General features: G+C 43.4%; 1 annotated feature.

Moving 5' to 3' along the window:
- Positions 13,334–13,393: an enhancer, noted in NCBI's record as "active region_20970". NCBI's record gives its function as "activates an Ori minimal core promoter by ATAC-STARR-seq in GM12878 lymphoblastoid cells {active_cell/tissue: GM12878}" and the evidence as "EXISTENCE:reporter gene assay evidence [ECO:0000049][PMID:35858748]".

Raw genomic sequence — 14,169 nt, 5'->3', positions numbered from 1 at the left:
GACAGAAATTTCATCCCCCATATCCAAATCCTTTTGACTCTACCTGCCAAACATTTCTTCTCCTCACTAACACTTCCCATGCCCCCATAAGATACAGAAAAATTCCTCAGCCTGATCCTGTTGCTTCCTGGATGGAAAGCCTTTCCTCTGGGCCTCCTCTCTAGTCTGCTAGTATCAGTCTGGAATTGGAGGGTCTATCTTCACAGGCCCTCAGTTTCCTCATCTTGAAACGAAAGCTTGAACTTGATAAATTCAGAGGTCCAATCCAAGTCTGGTCATGAATAAAAGCCATGAATTCGATTTTTACAAGCTTTTCTCATCATTGGCTTATATGGAACATCTACATAATATTGATAGCAGATATTGATGATGCAGTGAATGTTTTATGGGTTTTCTCCTTTTTTTTTTTTTTTTTTTTTTTGAGACAGATTCTTGCCCGATCGCCCAGGCTGGAATGCAGTGGTGTGATCTCAGCTCACTGTAACCTCCACCTCTCCCAGGTTCAAGCAATTCTCCTGCCCCAGCCTCCTGAGTAGCGGGGATTACAGGTGCATGCCACCACACCCAGGTAATTTTTTGTATCTTTAGTAGAGACGAGGTTTCACCATGTTGACCAGGCTTGTCTTGAACTCCTGACCTCGCGATCCACCCACCTCGGCCTCCCAAAGTGCTGAGATTACAGGCGTGAGCCACCGCGCCTGGCTGGTTTTCTCCTCTTGTGTAGAACACTTCAAGTGGCACGAAGCCTCTCAACCTTCCAGACCAGCCTCCCTTCTGTGTCCTAGAAGAGCAAGACAGGCATTTGATGTTGCGTTGTAGCATTGATTTTTATTTCTAACCATTTTTTTCTATGTACTTTTTGTTGTATATTTTATCTTTTGTTTTTTATTTTATCTTTTGTTTTTTGCTTATTCTTTTTTATTTGTGTGTGTATGTGTGTTTATTTTTGATGTATTACACATAAGATGAAGGCTTTAAATTTTCCTGTATGTAGAGAGGAATAAGGAAAGCCCAATATCATGTTGAACAACATGATACTCTGATTTGAAATCCAAACTTGATTTTTTATTCTAGTCTGATATTTAGAAGTTGATAGCCACATTAAAAATTATGAGTCCCAGCCCACATTACGATACATGAACTGTTGTTTTGAAGTCATGTTTCATCATTCACATAAAAATGAGGTGTTAAACACTAATTGCATACCTGGCACCTGTGTGGGAACTCTTCCCTCCAGACAATCTCAGCCCTCCACTCAGGGAGACCCACAGGAGAGAGCTCCACCCAGGGTGGGGCATCAGCTTGGGCTAGGGAGAAAAGCAGGCTCATCCAGTGGTGTGAGGCAGTGTTAGTATCTACAGCTCCCAGAGAGCATACTGATGGCTTTCAGGTGATGTATAACTAAAATGTAAGCGGGTCTCTTGTCCACTAACAAGGCATCGACTACGGAGCATTTACAACCTCAACTTCCAGTCTGGAAAGCATGTCATTCAGGGTACGATAGGACCCTAGACCAAAGCTTCCATTTCCATCAACCCTCTTCAACTTTGTAGAAAAGTCATTTTCTCTTCAAGCTTAGTAGATAGATCTTTCCTTCACAGATGAGACATGCTCCTTCAAGAGCTCACCTAGGGAGGGTGAGGGCGTTAGCTCTGGGGCCAGGCTGTCTGTTTCTGAATCCTGGATTCTCTCCTTCCTAGTCGTGAAAGCATGGGCAAGTCTTTTAACTTGTCTGGTCCTCAGTTGAGTTGCCTTATCTATAAAATGGGAAGAAAAATAACAACTCTGACCTCATTAGGTTGTTGTGAGGATTAAATAGTGCTGAGAATAGTGCCTGACACAAAGTAAGCCTGCAATACATGTCAGCTATCCCCATCAGTGAGAGAAACACTTGTCAATCATGAAAGTACAGCATGGTGTGATATACGCTTTAATAGAGTTGTGTGGCTGGGAAATGATTAATTCTGAGGGATTCACAGAAGACTCCTGATCCAGTTAGTGTTCTATCAGACAAGCAGAACCACTTTGTATGATATAGGACCAGAAATTTATTGTCGGACCTTACTGAGTACAACTGTAGGAAATGGCTAATCAGTATATGTGAGGCTGTTGCTTCTGAGTTTGTGCTGGACTTTAAGGGTAGGCAGTGGAGAAAGAGAAATAGCAGTGGAGGAGGAGAGAGCAATGATGGTCTGGACCTTGCCAGGCACACTACAGCCTATTCCTGTCTCTCACAATATGTGGTGTCCTGCACCAACCTTCTAAATATTAAAACAGTAGCTTCACTTCTATATTTCAAATATCATGCAAAATCTCTTGTGGCCAAAGCTAATATGGAACTATGCAGGGAAGGGGGTCTGAGAAATGTAGCTCCATCTTATCTAAGTTGACCCAGCATAAATTAACCACATCTCCACAAAGGAAGCAATGGAATGGGTTCTAAAAGAGTAATTGTTTGCTATGAGGACAAATGAGAGGATATTCCGGATTCAGGGAAGGTAGTGTGCAGAGCTATGAAAAAGTCTGCTGCATTCAGGACATTCATAGTGGCTGCAGCATAGGCATTTTGCTACTAGGCGATGGAATTAGCCCAACATAACCATGAGCCATGGTAGCTAGAGGAAGCACAGATCCACCTATCCATTGAATCACATTTTTTCATTAACAAAGACTGGCTTCTTTTTCTTCTCGGCTAATGTCTTTCCCATTACCAAGGCAATTAAACAATAGCAGTGAAAGGAGCATTGAGCCTGGAGCCAGGAGACCTGGGTTTTAATTCCAGCCTTGCCCCATGCTCTGTTGGTGACTTTAGATGATTTTTTCACTCTCTGAACCTCAGTAACCTCATCTCTAAAGGAGAGATTGGAACAGAAGTGACAACTAAATCTCTAGTGTCACTTCCAACTTTAACATTATCTGGTTCTTGGCAATTATAGCATGACAAAAGGGGTACAGTAATTTTCATTCTGGTGAAAGCCCAAACAGAAAATGCAGGACTTTCTGTCATATCACTTCACTTTTATTTCTAGACCTTGGAAGCTGGTAAAATGGAGCTGCCCATGGTTGTTCCTGGAGTCTAGGCCTGGCCTAGATTAGGTGTCCAAGGTCAGCTCAAGGCTAAATCTTATTTGTCTTGGAAGCATTAGTCTTTCACTGTGCTGGAATCATCCAAGGCTGTCAAGAAATGTTGGATGAATGAACATACGGGATCTGGTCCTGGATTGGTCTATAGGCTTAGAAATTGTTTGTATGGATGACTTTGAGGGGACCTTATACACACTTCCCCTCTTAGGGGAGACTCTGAATCAGAAACAGTTTCTTCAAGTCTGCTCTAATATTGCCCTATATCTCTAGGAGGATTACAGGATTGAATAAATAGGGAGTGGGTCAAGACAAAGGTCTAGTGCATATGTGAAATTATGCAAATTCCAAACAAGAAATGGCCACCTGGCCCTAGATCTTATGGACATACTAATAAATATTTCTGAATGGAATAATTCTAGACATAGGTATCTATCCCTCCTAAATTACTGGGGGAAAGTCAGACTAATGCCTCAAACTTTTTGGTCTGTTTTCAAAGATGTTCAAATGTTGCATCCCAGGGAAGCCGTGGTGGTGTTCTTTGTCACGTCCAATAAAATGTTCTTATGGAACATTTAATTTTCTTTTCTTATGGAAAAACACTTTTGCTAACAAACAAGGCAGTATTATTTTATGTATGCAACCTGTAATTGTGGGAAACATCAGCTTTGGAGTCAAGAAAGCTGGTTTCAACTCTGGGCTTTATTGCTTAATAGTTGTGTACGTAGCGGATGAATTATTTCATCATTGAATCTCAGTTTCTTCATCTATACAAAGGGCGTGATAACACTGTTCATAGATCTTAAAACAGATGGTACATATAAACTGCATGGCATATGGTAAGTTTTCCATAAATACCATTTATTTTTCTTATTATTTTTCAAAAAGTAAAAATAATAAAGATATCATATTTCTGAGTTCTCTCATTGTCTGTTATTAGTTTGTTGTGTTATATGATTGTCCTTGCAAGCAGACAAGTACTGCAATCACCAAGAGCTTGAAAATAATTTAAGAAAAAAAAAAGTATTGTTACTACTATTATTATTTGCACACAAATTGCTAAGACACTTCCAATTTTGGAGGCAAAACCCAGAATTCTGAGGGTGTATCATTGTGGCAATCTCTGGCTTTGCACAATCATATTTTAGACATTAAATAGCTCTGAACCTTGTATTCTAGATCCATAGGCCACAGCAAGCTGAAAGGTTCTTAGAGGCCATCCTGAAAAGCCCTTCTATGGGTGAAGAAACTGAGACTCAGAGACAGAAGTGGCTTGCCCAAGATCTCCCACATGATTAGAGACAGTGTGAAGACTGGAATTTGTATCTTCCGATTCCTCATCCAGTAACAGCTTGTTGCCCCAGAGCCTTTGCTGACTCACCATGTAATCTTGGAAAATTCCCCTGACTTCTGTTTACTGGTCTTTCCATGAAACAAAAGATGGCGAGGATATCTCATGATCCATACCTCATGCAGATGTCAGTGGATTTGTTAGGACTAGGCTGCAATACACATTCGGCTCTGTAGAACTGGGCACAATCCATTAATAATTCATAAAAGACACCTAAGTATTACAAAGGGAAGTGGTTTGTCATTGTCAGATGGAAGGAACCTCCTTTCACGTGGTGGGGCAATTCAATGTTTTGCAGTCCATAGTGTACCCAGTGACCCTGCCTGAAGTCACTCAACCTCTCTCAGACCCACTGTACTCAACTGGAAACTGAAGATATGGCCAGAGTATCATTAAGTTTTCTTCTAGCCCTAATATTCTCATACTTTATCAGTTACTTCAATTTAGAACCCCATCATGGACTAACTGTACTTCCCAATAATAAGGATCCATAGCAGCTGAGAGTCACCAGCAAGAAAATCAAAGCAGCTAATGAGAATGAAATTGAAAGTAGGAAAGGAGTATAGATTTCTCTTTAAGCGTTGCCTATCTGGTCTAGAAATGTTACCATGTAAAGATACACTAAGATCTCTTAACATTGAGTAAGATTTCCAGTCAATGTTTCAGAAGCATTCCAGGTTTCCTGTCTCTCTTCTGTCGTGGGGTGAGCATCTTTCTATGGACTCAATCTATGGCCATGTATTGACAAGCTGTAATGAAAAGCCCGGATACGTGGATCCAGGCCAGGATTTAGGGCCAATTTTTTTTTGGCTTTATTTAATCTCACTTTCTCTGGGTATAAAAGACAGCATGGAAGAGAGCTATAATGCCTGGCCGGGGAGTTGCAGAGGCCTATTGTTGGCTGGCTATTTTAGCCTTGGCCTTGCTATTTCCACTGAACCTCCATTTCCTCCTCTGTAAGACAAAGGGGTTGGTTAGATGCTCTTTACAGTTCATTTAAATGCTAGCCTTCCACTTTTTGGCTCTCCTGGGTTTTCAGAGCAGAGTCTCTGAAGGAAGCATCCTTGACCAAGTTTCGTTTCACAGCCCAGAGATCTCCATTCCTGTTCCCTCAGGGGCTTGGGCACAGGAATTGGGTTGAATCCATTTGCAACTGAAATCTGTTCACTGTAATAAGTATTTGTGTTCCAATAATTTTCTAACAGCTTGTAATAAATAAAGCCAAAGGCATTCCTCAAGGAACTGCAATTAAAGATGCATCCATGGTAGGGGGTGGAGGTAGCAGGGGATCTGGAGGAGGGAGACGAGGCTTTCTCTTGAAATCCTGCTAAGGACAAGCAGCCACAGCTCTGGTACCATAAAACTGCTGAACTGACAACGCTTTAATGGCATCACCTCTCACTAGTCTCAGTTTAATATGTTCCCTGAAGGAATCCTTCGTCTGTGGAGACAGGCATAAGCTGACACATTCATAGAGAGTCTTCTTGAAAATGAGCCTAATGAGTTTACTGTCACTTCAGACGGGTTGGAAAGTAATCTGTGGATGAAAGAGTTAAATTTCACCAGCTTGAGCTGTGCAGTGGGCAAGCCCCAGCTGAACATTTGAGGAGTGAACACGCAGAGATAGGCAAAGTTCTTCAGGTTCAAAGGCTTGTTTGGGAAAAGAATCCAAAAAGTTCAGATGCTTTTGCTGAAGCTTATCTGATTTATTCAAGCTGGGGATGGGAGAATGCAGAGGCATTTGTGGAGCTAACCAAACATAAGATGTGTTCTTGCTTTGCACTTTCTGCCTTAGCTTTTCGGCTTATGTGTGTTTTGAGGGGAAATCTAATCCACATGTTTCAGATCCTTGGTATTGGAATGCATGAAGGTGCTGGCTGGTCGTAGGGCAGCTCAAATGACTAGGTGATAAGTAAGCAGTATGGAGATCATCTGGGCAGAAATACACCAAAGAACGGAGAAGATCAGTCATTTCCCCAAGTACTGCTATTCCCTGGGGCCTTGTCATCACCTGGTAGGAGGAGGGACCATGCTGGAGTGTGCATGGGAGGTTTTCACAGCCAGGCCTGGAAGTGGCACAATCACTATTCATTGAGGCAGAGAACAAGGCTGAAAAATGCGGGGGTTCAGGAAAAAGAAGCAAAGTGACAGGACACCATATAGTCTGTGATCCCGTGCACAGCTTAGGGGACATGCATAAAAACCTGAATTTAGAATTAGAACACACAAGCTTGAATACTTGAGCAACCATAGCCTCAGTTTCCTCACCTGTGAAATGGATATTTTGATCAAGAATCCCTGCTTCATGCGGTTGAGAAGACTAAATGAAATAATGGTGATGAAAGTTTTTGGTTCTGTGCTTGGTGCAAAAAAAAATGCACTGAATAAATATTTATTTTTTATTGTTTAATTTAAGTTAGATTTAATGCAAATCCTGGTTCCTTTGTGTGTTCCCCAAACTGGTTTACCCTGTCTCCAACCCAAAAATTCTCATTGTCACTCTGAGAGCAGCAAGAAGTACATTCTCTCTGGAAAACAATATAAATTGGCTCACATATTTTTTTCCACGCTAAACAGCATGATTTCAAAATGCTGGAAAAAGCCAGAGCCAAAGTAAATTCCCCCAACCTTTCTCTCTCTCTCTCTCTCTCTCTCTCACACACACACACACACACACGTGAACTTTTAAACCTTGCAAATCAGACAAGTGAAAAAAAAAAAGAAAGAAAGAAAGAAAGAAAGAAAAAGCCCAGCCTTCCATTGCTTCACATCGTATATATATCGAGTTCACTTCACAAACACAAGGTGCACTGTCAGAAGTGCCTTCGGCAAAGTTTGTACTTTGCTTGAATTCTAACTTTTGTTTACCAAGGTAATAAACCAGTCCTCTGCTGCACCAGGTGTAAAGCTATTATGAAAAGGCATATTTGTATTTCACCCCACCTCAGATGTACGGTATGTGGGACATCCTGCACTGTAAGAGCAGCCTGGATTTATTTACAGAGAGAGGCGCTCAAGCACAGAGAGGAGTGTCTCCAGGCTGGTAAAGGCTGAACCCCTGTGAAGAACTGGTCATCTAATCTTCCTCTTTTCTTTCGGCCACCTGCCCCTTCAGGCAACAGCGCCTTCCCTCTTTGCAGCGACAAATCATCCAGCCTGCCAGCAACCCTCCAGGGGCCTTTGCAGTCTCTGTGTAGGCAAGTTACGTCTTCCTGAGTTTTTTGTCCTACATTTTCAACCAATCTATTATTGACAAGCCTTGTACAGCCAGATTACAGTAGGCAAATGCAGCAGCTGAGGAAACGTCTCCTACCCTGTGCCTGAAAATCTCCACAAGCTTTTCTTCCCCTTCCTTCACAGGACCTGGTCATACCCTGATGGGCTATCTGAGGCCTGGGATGGGTGGGAGGAAACTTTCACCCAAATCTCTGAGCTAAATGGCCCGGAACTCACTCTAAATCATCTACTGAAATCCTGGCACAGAAAGGAGGAAAGAATGTATGGAAAAGGGCAGACTTAGAATGCCAGGGCCATTAGCCCGGGCAAGTAGAAGAGCTGCAAAGGGGGTCCCTGCGCTGTTGTTGATTCCAGGAGAGTCTGGCAGACCACCCAGAAACTTGCATAAGGCACACAGCAGCAGCAGTGGCATCCCAGCTCAACACGTCGGCTGCATGACACAGGCAATTTTCTCAGTCCTCGGCTGGAGCCTGGAGCCTCCCATTTGTCTTCTGGGAGGTAATTCCAATTTCTTCAGAACTTTGAGTTCTCATATTTCCTAAGCCCCTAGTAGGTGCAGAAGATTCAGCCAGGGCACTAGCCCATCTTAGGCACTCAATAAGTATTCTTAAACAATGAATTGGGCCGGGCGCAGTGGCTCACACCTGTAATCCCAGCACTTTGGGAGGCCGAGGTGGGTGGATCACTTGAAGTTAGGAGTTTGAGACCAGCCTGGACAACATGGTGAAATCCCATCTCTACTAAAAATACAAAAATTAGCTGGGCATGGTGGTGGGCACCTGTAATCCCAGCTACTCAGGAGGCTGAGGCAGGAGAATGGCTGGAACCCAGGAGGGGGAGGTTGACGTGAGCTGAGATCACACCACCACACTCCAGCCTGGGTGACAGAGTGATAATCCCTCTCAAAAAAAACAAAACAATGAATGAATTCTAGCTTTATCACTTTAAAAAGTAAAATCTTGAGCAAAGATCCCTTTGTGAACTCATATTTATTATGTCTAAAATGGGAATTATAAAAGTTATTACATTTCAGAATTGTTGTTACAAATAAGAAGCAGGTGAAGAGCCCTTGGTAAGCTTGCAAGAACTGCACCAACATTGGTGGTCACAGGCATGTCTAACACCTCCTCATGCTCGTGCATCTTGACCATGCTTTGCCAGTCATTGTCTCCCTTACATTGCCTGGAAACTCAATGCAACACACATCCATTGAATGACTACTGAGGTTTAGGTACAGTGGAAAGCACAGAGTGTATAGAGATTGATAAAACATCCTTGTCCTCAGGGAGCTTAGTAAATGAAGAACGAGTGTTGGGAAAAGACATTTCATCACTGAACACATCATTATTAAGTGTGTAATAGTCAGTCATTCAATCACTGTTCATTGAGGGCTAATTATGGACCAGGTACTGCTCTTGGCATTGGGCATTGTTTTAGTTAGGGTAGCCTCATGTAATGAGTCAACACAGAACTTATTTCTTGCTCACATAACAGTCTTGGAGGAGAATGTAGGTTGCTGGGGCAACTCTCCTTCACTTAGTCATTCAAGAGGCCAGGTTTCTTTCATCTCGTCCCTCTACTACTCCCTGAGGCCTTGTCATCATCTGGTAGGAGGGGGGACCATGCTGGAGTGTGCATGGGAGGTTTTCACAGCCAGGCCTGGAAGTGGCACATATATTTCTACACATGTTCCATTAGCTGGAACTCAGTCACACCTAACTACAAAGGAATCTGAAATGAGCCCTGCTCTATTTTCAAGAAAAAGAAAGATTTTGGTGAACATCTAACTGACTGATACAAGGATATAGCAAATATTAAGATCATGCTCCTATCCTCAAGGGGCTTACAGGTTTGGGAAGGTTATGCTACATAAATAAACACATAACCAAAATCATCTCAGGTATCATGAGGAAAATAAAATAAGGAAATGTGACTGTCATTTAAGCTGAAGGGGGCCTTTCTTAGATGGAGTAAGTGGTCGCCTAACTAAATAACAGTCGAGCTGACATCCAAATGGTGAACAGTTATCAGTTAAGAGAAAGACAAGAGGAGAGGAGTCCAGCAGAAGCTACAAGTGCAGGGCCCTGAGATGGGACGTGCCTGGGATATTGAGAGCAAAGCAAAGGCCAGTGTGGTGTGTGAATGAGGGCAGGACACACAGAATGAGAGTGGGAAGCTAGGGAAGGGCCACATGATGAAGGGCCTTAGAAATCATGGTAAAAACTTGGATTTTAAACAATAAGTTATATTTCAAGATTCATGGAGACCAACACAGAGAAGGAATAGATACCAGTCTGGCAGGAGGGGGAACCATGCTGGAGTGTGCATGGGAGGTTTTCACAGCCAGGCCTGGAAGTGGCACATATATTTCCACTCATGTTCCGTTAGCTGGAACTCAGTCACACCTAACTACAAAGGAATGAATGAATCTATCCTCGGATTCATTAGTCCATTCATTGCTCTTCCCTCAACCACAGAGGGATGACCCTTGTGTATCCCAAGTACCCACATCAGCTGGCTTCCCCTGGGCACAGCCAGTGGGAGACATTGTCAGGAGACAGAGGGGCAGGAGGCAGGAAGAAGCTGGGTTTATTTCTCTCCCTTTCTGCCTCTGCCAGCACCTCTGGCTCGTTCTATCCCCACCCATAGCTCCAGCTTCTACTGGACAGGCCCACCGTGGTCCAGTTTCTACCAGGTGACCCTGGCTTCTGGATTCCAGTAACATGACCTCCTTTCTTTATCTCTCTGGCCTAGTCTAGCAGCACCAGCGTAATAACTTCTGCTATTGCTAATGTCTGGGTTAGCTTCTTAACTTCTTCCACCACCTGTGTCGCCAGTGACCTACATTAAACTCGTTCTGCTCAGACACTTAGAGTAGCTTTAGTTTCCCTAGTGGGACCCTGATGACTGATACAAGGTACAAATCCCTTGCTGTGAGAATGCCCTCTCAGCACCAGGTATCAGGCCTGGCACATAGGAGGTCTACAGTGAATGTGTTGCTGCTGGCTGCAACAATACAAATTTATTCTCTTGCAGTTCTGGAGGTCGGAAATCTACAATGGATTTCACTGGACTAAAATCAACAAATCCGTAGGGAACAATCTGTTTTCCTGCCTTTTCCAGATTGTAAAGGCTGCCTGTACTCCTTGGCTCCTGGCCCCTTCCTCCATCCCCCAAGCCAGCAATGGCAGTTCGAGTCTTTCTCAAGATACCACCACTCTAGTTCTGACTCTTCTACTTCTGCTTCCCTCTTTCCTACTTATGGGTCTTTGTGATTACACTGGGGCCACATGAATAACCCTAGATAATTTTCCTGTTTTATGGTCAGCTGCAGCAAGCTTAATTTCATCTGCAACCTTAATGCTCCCTTGCCATGTAATATAACATATTCACAAGTTCAGGGCATTAGGACACGGACAGGACATGGACATTTTTGTAGGGCCAATATTCTGCCTACAGAATAGTGTCTGAGTAAATAAGTCAGAATGGGAGAGGGGAGGCTATGAGGGCTTGCTAAGGAGACAACAGCAGAATGCCTTATACTGCATGTAGTAAGAACTCAATGCCTGTGAGTTGAAATGAACATAGAGGCATAGAGGTACTTTGAAGAGGGCAATTGGGTCCCCTGGTTTAGAGGTTCTTTCTAGGATGCTTGAAGCACGGCTCGCAGTTTCACACCTCTGAGAGTGTACTCTTGTCTGCTTCGCCTGGAAGGCAATGCTGGGACACAGCTCCTGTTAGTCTCTCACCCAGGATGGCACGTAGGTTTCTTGTTTTCCCAAAGAAAGGTTCCCTTCGGAGAGGGGAGTGGGTGAAGGCAAACTGTTGGCTGCAGCACGTGAGGCCCATCAGTTCCAATTCAGGGACAACTGGAGTTGATGCAGGCGTTCCATCCAAATGTAATCAAACGCCTCCTGTTGCCAGACGATGTGCTATTCAGTGGGGGGCTGGTGAGGGTTGTTGTGAATCCGAGATGCCTTCTGTAACTTTATCAGATGGGTACTGGGAGGAGAGGAAGGAGAGCAGACAGGGAAATTCACTTCACTGGTAAATAAACTTCCAAACTAGCAGATTCCTGAAAAACTCCTGAAACTGCCTACTGGGGAGAAGATCCACAATGAGACTGTGGGTGGTGAAGACTCAGGTGGGAGGATCTGTGTCAGTGTAAGCCCGTGGGGCAGCGCACACGGCCCAAGATCTCGAGGGAAACCCTGGATCCCGCTCCTCCTCTTCTTTATGTGTTGGGGGTGGGTTGGGGGTGAGTTTGAAGAGGACAGAGTTTCGGTAAGCATAGAATGGCTTTCTCTATTTTAAGCAAGATTTTATGGAAATGACTTTCTTTAAACTGCTTCATTTGAACTGGAATTCCCCCACCCACCCCTCCCATGCTTCCTGCCCACCCCCAGCACCCTAGGGCAGAACAAGATGAGGAAGAGTACTTGCCAGGTCTGATCTTGGAAGAAGGTGAAGCCTGCATTTAGGAGCCTGGCATGGGGGTTAGTGTCTTAGTCGCTACACCGCCGAGAACTGCAGACTCTGATATCTATGTTTCTGAGCTTTTCGAATCACTTTGGTTACTGAGGACATCTTTGGGAAATCTTTGGGATGGATGCCTGTTAAGGGAGTGTGTCTCGGTTGAGTACCTGCAACTACTGTTGTCAATATGAGAACATTACTTAGAAAGACTTGTACTATATAAATTTGCTTATGTAACTGGCATAGAGGTAGTATAATTGCATCTTTTATCAGCACAGATACATTGCATTAGGGATGTATTTCCTTCTCATAACAATTTTTGGTTCCTGAGAACCTTGAAGGATTAAGGGCTATTAACTCACTCCAAAATGTACAATGGTAGGCATAGGACTCCCCTGGAAGGATTTATGAGACATTTAAGAGAAAGTCTGGTTGTGGGAGGCAGGGGGCGAGAGAGAAACTGGCTTTTCATTGCGTACCCTTTTGTGCCTTTTGAATTTTGTACCTTATGTGTGTGTTAGCTATATAAAAATCAACAAAATGTATTTTGTAATATACAGAATCATGATTTCAACTACACAAAATCAGACATATACAAGAAGGAAACTACAATAAAATTTAAATAGCACCAACTCCTTGTAATGAGATTGTTTCTCTTATCTTTCCTTTTAGATATTTTCTACATCTTCCTCAATTAATAATAATAATAAATAGGGCTTTTTCAATGATTTTATAAGCTGCATTTTTTTTAAATTTTACTTTAAGTTCTGGAATACATGTGCAGAACGTGCAGTTTTGTTACATAAGTATACATGTGCCATGGTGGTTTGCTGCACCCATCAACCCGCCATCTAGCTTTTAAGCCTTGCATGCATTAGGTATTTGTCCTAATGCTCCCCCTCCCCTTGCCCTTGTGTGATGTTCCCTTCCTTGTATCCATGTGTTCTCATTGTTCACCTCCCACTTATGAGTGAGAACATGTGGTGTTTGGTTTTCTGTACCTGTGTTAATAAACTGCATTTTTTAAACAATCAGGGAGAACAGTGTTTTCATACGCCACTGCTATATTAATCTATATAGATCAGGGCTCGAGCTGATACAACAAGTCTCCACCCATATGCCTTTTTCCTTTTCCAGTTTCTTTTCAGTTTGCCAGTGAGTGGGCTGTTTCTAGGTCTAATTCGTGGATCTCTTGTTGTTCACTCAGTCATAGTGAAACATCGTGAGTACATCACCCTTCGTGACGGCTAGGTTTCAGCGGCTAGGTTTCGGTTCAGATAACCTCATCGTTATCATGATCATATCTTCCGTCATCCATCACCATCACCCACTGTCAGCAAGCTCTTCTCAGTTCAGTGCCATATGCATTTTTTAAGCACCTGCAACCTTGGGCCCCTCATAGAGCCATGTGCTATGGGGCATGCGGAAGTGAATCCAAACTGTTCCACCCACCAAGATGCTGAGTCTTGGATAGGAGACAGCATATATGGAGTTAGCTTTGACTGGAGCCAGAGAGTGGTGAGTGCTTTCAAAGATGTCATGATGCAATATGACTATCAGGTGGGAGAAGCAGGGAATACCTTTAAAAGATAGCATGGGATATAATGACTCTCTGATGGGAGAAACACGGAGGAAACTTTCCTTCCTTTACACTTTCTGCATTCTTCACCTTGCTTCTCTCCATGTCCTTCGTCACACTCTGCAATAAGTTATGTCCTTGTCTTGGACCTTTCTTACCTACTACGGCCCAGGTGAGTATGCAATGTGATAGAGATACCAGCAAAATGCTATGGGGCTTAGAGGAAGCCGAGATTAACTCCACTCTGGAGGCAGAATTCTTTGGGGAGGTAGCGTTTGAACAGACTTCGAGGGACAGATGGCATTTAGATAGCAGAAAGCAAAAGAAGAGTGAGCTGAAAGAAAGAGGAGGGCAAAGGGAAGTGGGTTGCTGTGCAGTGATGCACTTTTCTGAACTTCAGATTCTATAGCTGCAATGTGAAGTTGATAGCACCACTGGCCCCAGA

This window comes from Homo sapiens, chromosome 3 (assembly GCF_000001405.40).
Source record: "Homo sapiens chromosome 3, GRCh38.p14 Primary Assembly".
Classification (NCBI taxonomy): Eukaryota; Metazoa; Chordata; class Mammalia; order Primates; family Hominidae; genus Homo; species Homo sapiens.
The sequence above is the reverse complement of the archived record's forward strand: the minus strand, read 5'-3'. Positions and strand labels throughout refer to the sequence as shown.